Source organism: Homo sapiens, chromosome 3 (genome assembly GCF_000001405.40).
Source record: "Homo sapiens chromosome 3, GRCh38.p14 Primary Assembly".
Taxonomy (NCBI): Eukaryota; Metazoa; Chordata; class Mammalia; order Primates; family Hominidae; genus Homo; species Homo sapiens.
The window spans coordinates 39,164,205-39,175,900 of NC_000003.12; the positions used below are offsets into that span (position 1 = coordinate 39,164,205).

Consider the following 11,696-nt stretch of genomic DNA (forward strand, 5'->3'; position numbering starts at 1 on the left):
CATTAGTCGATGGACATTTAGGTTGGTTCCATATCTTTGCAATTGTGAATTGTGCTGCTGTAAACATGCATGTGCTGGTGTCTTTTTCATATAATGACTTCTCTTCCTTTGTGTAGATACCCAGTAATGGGATTGTCAGATCAAATGGTAGATTTAGTTCTTTAAGAAATCTCCATACTGTTTTCCATAGACGTTGTACTAATTTACATTCCCACCAACAGTGTATAAGCATTCCCATCTCACCACATCCACACCATCATCTGTCGTTTTTTGGCTTTTTAATAATGGCCATTCTGGCTAGGGTAAGGTGGTATCTTACTGTGGTTTTACTTATTTCATTGTTATTATTTTTTTTTGAGACAAGGTCTCACTCTGTCACCCAGGCTGGAATGTGGTGGCATAATCACGGCTCACTGCAGCCTTGACCTCCCTGGCTCAAGTGATCCTCCCAACCTCAGCTTCCTGACTAGCTGGAACTACAGGCACATGCCACTATGCCCCACAAATTTTTGAATTTTTGTAGAGACAGGGGGTCTCCCTATGTTGCCCAGGCTGGTCTCGAACTCCTAGATGCAAGCAATCCCAAACTGCTGGGATTACAGGCATGAGCCACCACACCCGGCCTAAACTAGATTCTTCAGGTGGATACCACTCTTGCTCCTGTTTAACTTTTTTTTTTTTTTTTGCCTCGTTTCACATTTTTATATTTAATTTAATTTTGGCTGATGGTAACATTGCAGCCTTAGCTTACTATTTTCTGGTACACCTTGGTTTGTATTTTATTTTTAACCTTTCTGAGTTATTTTGGCAAAGATGCATCTCTTGCACACATCATACACTTTTTAAGACACTTTTATCATTCGATGTGAGAATCATTTTTCTATCATGAGTAGTTTTATCCCATTTACATGTGCTGATATAACTGACATATTCGCCTTAACTGTGTCTTCTTATCTTGTTTTCTATTTAAATACTGCTTGTGTTTTCTATGTTTTACCCTGTGTATTTTTGTCTTCTTCGGTATGCATGTGTGTGTGCGCCTATATGTTTGTATTTTTGTCTGATTATTTGAAGGTTCATAAGTCTGTTTTTAATATTTCTAGTGGTTGCTTTTATATCAATTTATTTCTCTGCCAAGAAAAGAAAACATTTAGATGTAGGAAAAGAGTTGTATTCTCAAAGGCTAAGCTTTGGCACCACAGTTCTGTCTTCAAAATCTTGATGTCTTTTTCTCAATATGAAAGAGGTTGATAGCCTTGCCCAGAAGCCAAAAGTTCAGGGTAATCAAGATACTGAATGTGCCACTGAGATGCTGCTTGAACTAGCCACCTACATCAAAGAGCTATCAGTACCACAAAGGGATGCTGTATCTCATCTCTTCTTTCAAAACCTCATGTGAATATCTTTCCTTCAGCAACCAGCATACTTTGTTCAACAGTGTCTTTGACTTACTGTCCATTTCTCTACACAGTATTCTGAGAAGACATAATAGGAGAGGCCATGAATTGAAGGCATTGACTCTTCTTGCTATTTGTTTCTATATATATCGAGATTAGGAGCCAGATTGTTGCCTGACAGCTGGTCTTTGTGAATACAGTGGTGTATGGTTGACATTCAGCTGCAAGTTTTTTTTTTTTTTTTTAAATCTGTGAATTGATGCTGGTTGGTCAGTCAGTATACCAAAAGATAATAGCACACTTAAAACCAAGATGAGGCGGCTCTGCCTATGGAGTAGCCATTATTTTATTCCTTTACTTTCTTAATAAACTTGTTTTCACTTTAAAAAAAAAAAAGGCTTGTTTTAGGAAGCCTGATTTTAGGAAGGCTTGTTTACAAGGGGACTATTTGCAGTCTTGCAGATATAGAAGTATGCCAAGAGATGATACAATAAACTGGAGAAGCAGTAGCAAAGCTGTTACCACCAACAGGCCTGAAGAAAAAAAGGGTGGAAGGTGTCATTAGAAGGGAGAGAACCGATGGAGTGGGCTGTCTTGGGAGGACCAGTGGCCTCCTGTTGAAGGATGCATCCAACCCATGGTGACTCACAGGCAGGAAGCCAGGGGATTAAGTGCCCTGATCTCACTCTCTTCCTTCTCCATTTCCTGCTGGGGATTGCCATTGCTGAAACCCAACTGGGAGCCAGAAGCTCATTCATCTAATCTTGCAAAGGAATTCGGTGATAAACAGCATAAAAAGTTAACAAGCACATTTCCCTCATGTGTCTTGAAAATATGTGAAGAGCTGACTCACACTCCACACACCAGTGGTGCACCCATTAGCAATGTCTGCAACTATCAGTGATGGAAAACAAGTTACAGTGGCTTTAAACATAGAGAGGTTGACTTCTATACTATAGCAGGCAGTCTTGAAGTAGTCAACCACTGACATTCAGTGGCTCAATAATGGCAGTGCGGATGTGCCTACAATTATTTCAGCTTTTACCTTGTACTGGTTGCTTCATATTTGCAAGATGGCTGCCCAGCCCCAGGCATGGTCAACTTAGGAAGAAGGAGGGAAAGAGGTACCAGCATGTATGCCTAATTATTAAGAAAACAAAAATTTTCAAGAAGTACCCTCAGCAGACTTCCCATCACATTTCATTGATCAGAATGGGGCTTCGTGGTCTCCTATAGTAGCAAGGAAGACTGGAAAGGTGGAAAATGGGTTGATCATGCCTGATTTAGATGACTTGTAATTAATTGCTTGAGACTGGAGACTTTGGTGCATGGATCAAAATCAGGGATTTGTCATCAAGAAGGCAGGGATGGGATGAATTCTTGACAATGAATGAGGCTTACCACAAGTAGTTTTATTCAACAATGAAGCCAATTGTGTGCTAGCACTCACTCAGGACAGCAATTGCTCTTTCACAGAATGTGCCATTGATTTTCTGTGACAGCCAAAAGTGTTGTTTGATCCAGTAATTTCATCAAGAGCTTGCTCTGCTTTTTCTGTAATCATCATATTCCCTGGTAGCCTATGACTCAGTTTATAAGCCATGATGTGAATTGTGTTGATTTTCACTGTAAGTTGGACAAGTTTAATGATGCCTTTGTGGTTTCAATCTTTTCTCTGTCTTTAGTGAGAAAGTGCATCCCTATCACAGTAGACTTTATTTACTCACATTCAGGAGAAGCTTGATTGGTTTTCTAACTAGCTTACAAGGTCTGATGCAAACAAATATGATGCAAAGGCCTCACTGGGCATCATGCCACTATCTGACAAGTTTCACAATAGATGATGCCTCAAGAGGAAATGCATTACAAGCTAACAAAATCCTATTTTTGGATATTCATTCCCATACCCTTATTTCTGATTCGTACTTTTTTTCCTACTTGTATAAAATCATCTGATTCAACCACTCATCAGCCCTAATATATATAATCACACTTTATATTGCAGTATTTTTGTTACTATTTTCAATAATACTTTTATTCTTTAATGAACCTTTTTTGAACGATGGATCTATCTTTATGATTTGGGGCCATACTGCCATTATTATATGATATAATAACAATAATAGTAACAATAAAATGGAAATATAATAAATATAAATAATACCATGAAAACAGTATGAAAATGTTTTATCAAGTTGGACTACAGCTAATGGTATTTATTCTCTTTACTAAATACAAGCTGAGCTAAACTGCTTAATTCAGCTCTGATGGCCCAGGTGCATGCTACAAGACCATGATAATTATTACAAAGGTATTGAGATTTCTATGGAAATTATCATTGATCTCACATTTATGAAATGTATGTGAACAAAATTTCTTGTCTGTGTAGCAACCTCTGTGTAGCCATGCCCTGCTTGTATCCCCTTGGCCTTCATAGTTCTCACACCTCCTGATGGTTTCTCACTGCAAACACAGGTGACTCTCTGCCTGAGTGATGTTTCTGGTCACAGGACTATGCTCCACAGGCACACAGGGCAGGCTGGACATGCCCCTGAATACAGCCCTTAGCTGACAATGGGTTAGGGTAGACACTGAGGGGTGTTCCAGACAGCATCCCAGAGGTCCCAGGGAGATTGAGCTGCAGCTGCCCACCCTGGTAATTTACTCATCAACACACCCTGTGTTGGTTTCCTTCCCTTCCCTGCCCATCTTCCTTTCTTTCCATGAGTGCTTCCTGGGATCCAAGTGAAACACTCAAATCTTTGTCTCTGGGTTTGCTTCTGAGGGAAATGAGCTCGAGGCAGTTTTTTCTTTGAAATATCCCTGCCGGCTCTGAGATTCATGGAACACATTTTAGGAAAAACTATTCTAGACAACTCTGCTCATTTCATCAATGAGCGGACTGTGGCCCAGAGTCGGGGCCCTGAAGTGCCTAGGGTTACTCTATGGTGAGGGACAGACCCAGCGGCCCTGGTGTTTCTATGGAACCAGCATAGACTGATGTCCTGATGCCCTTGGGGGCTGCCTTGGAGGTGTAACCTGAACTCCCCCAACCAGGCAAGACACACAGGGGCCTCAGCCCTTCTTAGACTTACCTGGAAGATCCACTGAGGACAGGGAGCTCCTGGCATAAGCTGGGGCAGGAGGGGAATAAGAGAAGAGGAAGCTAAGGCTGGAAGGGGTCTCCAGCCAGTGAAGGGCTGGGCCTGACCACTCTGTACCTCCTCTCTCCCCTGAACCCCTCTCACCTCGCTTTCCCAGCTCTTGTGTTTTTCTCCTTCCGCTCCTGCCCTCACCATTGAAATGAAGGGTTTTCTGGTCTGTTCCTTCCTGGATCTTTCCTAAAGAAGTCCCCACACAAACATCCCACACAGAGATCTCTTCGGCTTATGATGGAGTTAAGTCCTGATAAACCCATCATAAATTGAAAATATCATTAGTCAAAAATGCATTTAATACACCTAACCTACTAAACAACATAGCTTAGCCTCTCCTACTTTAAATGTGTTCAGAACATTTATACTAGCCTACAGCTGGGCAAAATCATCTAACACTTTTAAGACTATCTTACAATAAAGTGTTGCATATGTCCTGTAATTTATTAAATACTAAAAGTGAAAAATAGAATAGTTGTATGGGTACTTGAAGTACGGTTTCTACTAAATGTGTATAGCTTTCACACTATAGTGAAGTACAAAAATTGTAAATAGAACCATAGTAAGTAGGAGATCATCTGTGTACACACTCGTTTCTCTCTGGGATTAGACCCTGGCTCTGTGGATCTCAAAGAAACTGAGAGGGGGCTGGGCGTGGTGGCTCACACTTATAATCCCAGCACTTTGGGAGGCCAAGGAGGGTGAATCGCCTGAGGTCAGAAGTTCGAGACCAGCCCGGCCAACGTGGTGAGACCTTGTCTCTACTAAATATACAAAAATTAACCGGGCATGGTGGGGCATGCCTGTAATCCCAGCTACTCGGTAGGTTGAGGCAGGAGAATTGCTTGAACCCAGGAGGCAGAGGTTGTAGTGAGCCGAGATTGCGCCACTGCACTCCAGCCTGGACAACAAGAGTGAAACTCTGTCTCAAAAAAAAAAAAAAAAAAAAAAAAAAAAGAAGAAGAAGAAGAAGAAGAAAAAGAAAAAGAAACTGAGATGGATTCATGTCCCACAGAACAAGGCATTTTTCTCTGTGCTTCATCTTTTCCTATTTCCTATGAGAGAAGCTTGTGACCCTGTCAACCATTTCCAGAAGAAGAAATTGGCTTCTAACCTAGTTTTCTAAATAACCGATTGGAAATGTCTAACCTATGGACCTTTTCTTATTTCCATTTGACAGACTAAGGCCAAGAAAGAGGTTATATCATGAACCCATGACCTGACTCCAGACAATGATTTTGCCATTCCAACTTCAGAGGAAGCTTTGGAAGGAGTTTAAACCATAAGCTTACCCTCTCAATCATCCACTACCCCAAGGTAAGTAGGGCCTATTAGAATCATGGCCCTGCTGGTAAAATCACCCGCTCTCCTAGCTGTGTCCTGTCCAGATCCCTCACCTCAGGTTTTGTTTGTTTGTTTGTTTGTTTGTTTTTTGAGACAGAGTCTCACCTCTCACCCTGTTGCCCAGGCTGGACTGCAGTGGCACAATCTCAGCTCACTGCAACCTCCACCTCCTGGGTTCAGGCGATTCTCCTGCCTCAGCCTCCCAAGTAGCTGGGACTACAGGCACCTGCCACCATGCCCGGCTAATTTTTGTATTTTTAGTAGAGACAAGGTTTCACCATGTTGGCCAGGCTGGTCTCGAAATCCTGATCTCAGATGATCCACCCGCCTTGGCCTCCCAAAGTGCTGGGATTACCGGCGTGAGCCACTGCACCTGGCTCTCACCTTAGTTCTTATGGGGCCAACTGGGATGTCATCCTAAGGAACTGGAGCATAAATGTCCAGGGCCAGCTCTTGCAAGAGGAAATTCATTTATATAACAGTCACTGAATCCTGCAGGGCCCTAGGCTCACATGCAGAATGATAGAGGGCTCAGGAGATGAACCTTAAAGAATCGAATGCATTCCTGCCCTCCCGCGGTGAGCGCATAGGCTAAGAAGTGGGATAGTTCCCATACTACAGGCTAGAGCATACTAAAGGCAACAACAATAATAATGGCTGTGATGGTTTAAAAACATGCCTACACATTCTTTCATGCTTTTTTTTTTTTTTTTGCAATTAAGTCTTTTTTTTTTTTTTTTTTTGCCAGGCTAGAGTGCAGTGGCATAATCTTGCCTCATTGCAACCTCCACCTCCCAGGTTCAAGCAATTCTCCTGCCTCAGCCTCCCAAGTAGCCAGGATTACAGGCGTGTATCACCATGCCTGACACATTTTGTGTTTTTGGTGGAGATAGTCACCATGTTGCCCAGGCTGGTCTTGAACTCCTGACCTCAAGTGATCCACCCACCTCGGCCTCCTCAAGTGCTGAGATTACAGGCATGAGCCACCACGCCTGGCCACATGCTCTTCTTATCAAAATCAGAATCTAACATCCCTCCCCTTGAAAACAGGCCAGGTGGCTGGGCGCAGTGTCTCACACCTGTAATCCTAGCACTTTGGGAGGCTGAGGCGGGTGGATCACAAGGTCAGGAGTTCGAGACCAGCCTGACCAACATGGTGAAACCCTGTCTCTACTAAAAATACAAAAATTAGCCAGGCGTGGTGGCGCGCGCCTGTAATCCCAGCTACTTGGGAGGCTGAGGCAGGAGAATCGCTTGAACCCTGGAGGCAGAGGTTGCAGTAAACCGAGATCATGCCATTGCACTCCAGCTTGGGTGACAGAGCGAGACGCCGTCTCAATAAAAAGAAAGAAAATGGGCCAGACTTAGTGACTTGCTTCTAATAAATAGAACGTAAAATAAGTGATAGTGTGTGATTTCTAAGGCTAAGTTAGAAATGGTGATATAGCTTCTACCTAGCTTTTTCTTGGAATACTCGCTTTTGAAACTCAGCCACCATATTGTGAGGAAGCCTGGGCTACCTGGCAGACACCTCACATGTAGGTGTCCTGGTCAATGGCCCCAGCTGACAGCCAGCATCAACTGCCAGATTCATAAGTGAACACAGTTTCAGATGATTCTCACCTCTAGCCTTCATGTCTTTCCAGTTATGAGCTATTCTCATCAAGTTCTGCCCAAATTATAGATTTATGAGCAAAATAAATGTATGAAGCCACTACATTTGTCAATTGGTTATGCAGCAACAGATAACTGGAACCATACTAAAGTGTATTGAGTATCTACTACAAGCCAGTGTGCTAAACACATTACAGGGTTATAATCACATTTAATCCTCCCAACAATCCTATAGGTAGATATTATGGGATGTCTACCTTATAGAGAACTGAAGCTCAGAGCAATTAAGTGACTTGATGGAATCATAGAGCTTGTTAGTGGCAAAACGGGACTGGAGGCAGTAGTGTGCTGGTAAATGATTAACAACCAATTCTCTGGGTTGGGGCAGGGATGGAGGGAGGAGGGAAGCCATGATCTTTAGTGTTTTCCAATTTCTGTGGTGTAAATTATTCCACGATGGCTGATTTCAAGCTACTGGCACAGAAAGTGAAATTGGGCAGAGATGTGCACAATCACCTCTCTGAGGCTATAGTACACCACTGAGTAGAGGCTGCCAACCCCAGGACCTATGTGTGTGGGGTTCTAAAAATGGATGGTTGGAAGATTTCTGAGTGGGTGATGGAGAAGCTGGTTTAGGGAGTTTCTCCTGAAATGTAGTTTGAGCTGCGGAAAAGGCATTTTGGGCATTCATTCATCCTGTGTACTCAACTGAGTGCCAGATGGTATTCTAGTCATTGATCATTAGCAGAAAATGATACACACAAGCTCCTTGCTGTCATGGAGTTTTCTTTTTCTTTTCTTTTTTTTTTTATCAGGACAGAGGTGGGAAAACTCAAAGGCACAGGCTGTACTGAGAAGTTTGAGCAATGGAGAAGAAAGTGGAGCTCTGACTGACCTTAGCCCACCACAGTCAGGCTCCAAGAGGGGAGATGGCCTGGGCTGATGGCTCCCTTTCCTCTGCTGGCCCTTCCCTTTTGGGAAAACCCCCATGTCAGAAAAGTCTCAAGTCTGTCAGACTGGGAGTCCCCAACTCCCAACCCAAGGAAGCAGCCCTAGGAAAGGAGAGGATGAGATTTCCCAAAGCTATCTCTTACCACTTCCCTCCCCCAATCTCATCCCTCCATCTATTGGTGAGAAGCCTCCTAAAGTTGGCCTGAGGCTCCTGAGGGACTGGTTCCACCGGAGTCTTTAACCAGGACCCTATCCTCCTTGGGACCTGCAATAGAGATAAGAATCAGAGTACAATCCTCAAATAATTCCCACAAATTTGGAGCTGATTCTTAACTGAAAAGAAAGAAAGAAAGAAAGAAAGAAAGAAAGAAAGAAAGAAAGAAAGAAAGAAAGAAAGAAAGAAAGAAAGAAGAAAGAAAGAAAGAAAAAAGAAAGAAAGAAAGAAAGAAAGAAAGAAAGAAAGAAAGAAAGAAAGCTTTCTGTCCAGAGGATTCTGCGCTCTGCAAGGAAGACACACCTTGTCTGAGGGTTAGCTTCATCAGAAAGAGAACTAGGAGGAATCTGTCTTCCAAGATGACATCATCCAAGCTTGGACATCATCTAAGGAGGGGGATTTATTTTTGATATACAAGACTGAAAATACTTAAAGCATGACATGTAAAATTATTGAAAAGATACTAAGATGTGATGAATTAAGCTTTCTTGAAGTCTTGAGTTGGAAGGAGTGGAGTGAGGGGCAAGTCATGAAGCACATAGCAGGACATAATTTAAACCAGATGTCAGAGGTCACTGCTCCTAAAGCCATTGGCTGGACTGACACATGGAGAAGATGCTTCCAGCCATTCTCTTCTCAGCCTTGCCCATCCCAGACTCTATCAGCTCTCTTTCTCAAATCCCAGGGTTACCCCCAAGGCTGCCTTTCTTGTTTTTTTTTTTTTTTAACTTTTATTTTAGGGTCAGGAGTCCATGTGCAGGTTTATTACCTTGTGTCACAGGGGTTTGGTGTACAGATTATTTCATCATCCACGTACTAAGCTTAGTATCCACTAGTTGTTTTTCCTGATTCCCTCCTTCCTTCCACCCTTCACCCTCAAGTAGGCCCCAGTGTCTGTTCTCCTCTGTGTGTCCATGTCCATCATTTAGCTGGTCTCAAACTCCAAACTGAGAACATGTGGTATTTGGTTTTCTGTTCTTGCATTAGTTTGCTAAGGATAATAGCCTCCAGCTTCATCCATGTTCCTGCAAAGGGCATGATCTCATTCTTTTTTATGGCTGCATAGTATTCCATGGTGCATATGTATCACATTTTCTTTATTCTGTCTGTCACTGATGGGCATTTAGGTTGATTCCACGTTTTTGCTATTGTGAATAGTGCTGCAATGAACATAGGCATGCATATGTCTTTATGATAGAATGATTTATATTCTTTTGGATATATACCCAGTAATGGGATTGGTGGGTTGAATGGTACCTCTGTTTTTATGTCTTTGAGGAATTGGCACACCGCTTTCCACAATGGCAGAAGTAATTTACACTCCCACCAACAGTGTTAAGCATTCCCTTTTCTCCGCAACCTCACCAGCATCTGTTATTTTTTGATCTTTTAATAATCACCATTCTGACTGGCGTGAGATGGTATCTCATTGTGGTTTTGGTTTGCATTTCTTTAATGATCAGTGCTATTGAGGTTTTTTTAATATACTTGTTGGCCACATGTTTGTCTTCTTTTGAAAAATGCCTGTTCATGTCCTTTGCCCACTTTTTGATGGGGATGTTTGTTTTTTTCCAAGCCTGTCTTTCAACTGATTAAAAAAAACTGTGGGCCGGGCGCGGTGGCTCACGCCTGTAATCCTAGCAATTTGGGAGGCCGAGGCGGGCGGATCACGAGGTCAGGAGATCGAGACCATCCTGGCTAACACGGTGAAACCCTGTCTCTACTAAAAATACAAAAAATTAGCTGGGCATGGTGGTGGGCACCTGTAGTCCCAGCTACTAGGGAGGGTGAGGCAGGAGAATGGCGTGAACCCAGGAGGCAGAGCTTGCAGTAGCCGAGATCACGCCACTGCACTCCAGCCTGGGTGACAGAGACTCCGTCTCAAAAAAAATAAAAATAAAAATAAAAATTTTTAAAAAGAGTTTTTGTTGCTTTCCAGAAATATGCTATGTACATTATTTACAGACACACACACCCTCATCCTACTAGACCTCTCTGGAGTCTTCATCTCAGCCCTGCCTCCCTTCCCCTTCCTAGACACACTTGCTTCCCTTGGCCTCAGGCACAGCTCTCTGTTCTCCTGTCTTACTGACTGCTCCTTTGGCGGTTCCTTTCCTGGCTCTATTTTATCTCTCAATCTCTAAATATTGGAGGGCCCCAGGACAGTGAACTGGGTCCACTTTTCTATCTGCCTCACTTCCTAAGAGATCCCTTCTCCAGCCTTATGGCTTTGCGGATCACCTTCACTGCTGGCTCCTGCGTCCCTGGCCTCCATGCGCCACTCCAGACCCGCTTGCAATCCTTCTCCTCCCTGCTCTGGGCTGGGGACTGACCCATATGTGCTGCATCCATGGGCTCTCTTGCTCTCTGGCTTCCCACAGCCTTTGGAGGAGGGGTGGAGAGTGAGGTCAGGATATTTGTTCTCCCTGTAGGGTTGCCATGGACTGGCTGCATTTTTCCACCAAAGGCCTCAGCTCCTGTCAGTTGGCAACATACAAACTTGTCTATTAAAAGATAAATCCCAGGCTGGTGTGGTGACTCACACCTGTAATCCCAGCACTTTGGGAGGCCAAGGCGGGTGGATCACCTGAGGTCAGGAGTTCGAGACCAGCCTAGCCAACATGGTGAAATGCTGTCTCTACTAAAAATACAAAAGTTAGCCAGGTGTGGTGGCGCACACCTGTAATCCCAGCTACTCGGGAGGCTGAGGCAGGAGAATCACTTGAACCTGGGAGGCGGAGGTTGCAGTGAGCCAAGATTGTGCCACTGCACCCCCCCAGCCTGGGTGACAGAGCAAGACTCCATCTCAAAAAAAAAAAAAAAAAAAAAAAAAGATAAATCCCCTTCCTTGGATGAAATCACATGAGTTTAGATGTTGTCTTCTCCACTCAGCTATCTTTTAGCTATCTTTGTCCCCAGGTTCCAGCAACTCCCTCTTCTCACTCCTTCAGAACTATGGATGGTTAAGGCCCCACTGTTACTAGCCCTGGGGGCCTACACTGCCCTCCTGGTTTCTCTACA

The 11,696-nt window shown here is 43.5% G+C and overlaps 1 long non-coding RNA gene across 2 annotated transcripts in view, besides 1 other annotated feature; it reads left to right on the forward strand.

Annotated features, from left to right (window-relative positions):
* The window catches only part of LOC101928263 (uncharacterized), a 21,468-nt gene extending 11,421 nt beyond the window's left edge, over positions 1 to 10,047 (forward strand). For both annotated transcript variants that reach the window (XR_245209.4, XR_940735.3), the window contains exons 2-3: positions 5,733 to 5,869; positions 8,326 to 10,047. This is a non-coding gene — a long non-coding RNA (uncharacterized LOC101928263). The remainder of the gene's footprint in view (positions 1 to 5,732; positions 5,870 to 8,325) is intronic.
* Positions 1,954 to 2,248: an enhancer, noted in NCBI's record as "tiled region #1375; HepG2 Activating non-DNase unmatched - State 22:ReprW". NCBI's record gives its function as "activates a minimal TATA promoter and a strong SV40 promoter by Sharpr-MPRA in HepG2 cells {active_cell/tissue: HepG2}" and the evidence as "EXISTENCE:reporter gene assay evidence [ECO:0000049][PMID:27701403]".
* Positions 10,048 to 11,696: the final 1,649 nt, after the last annotated feature.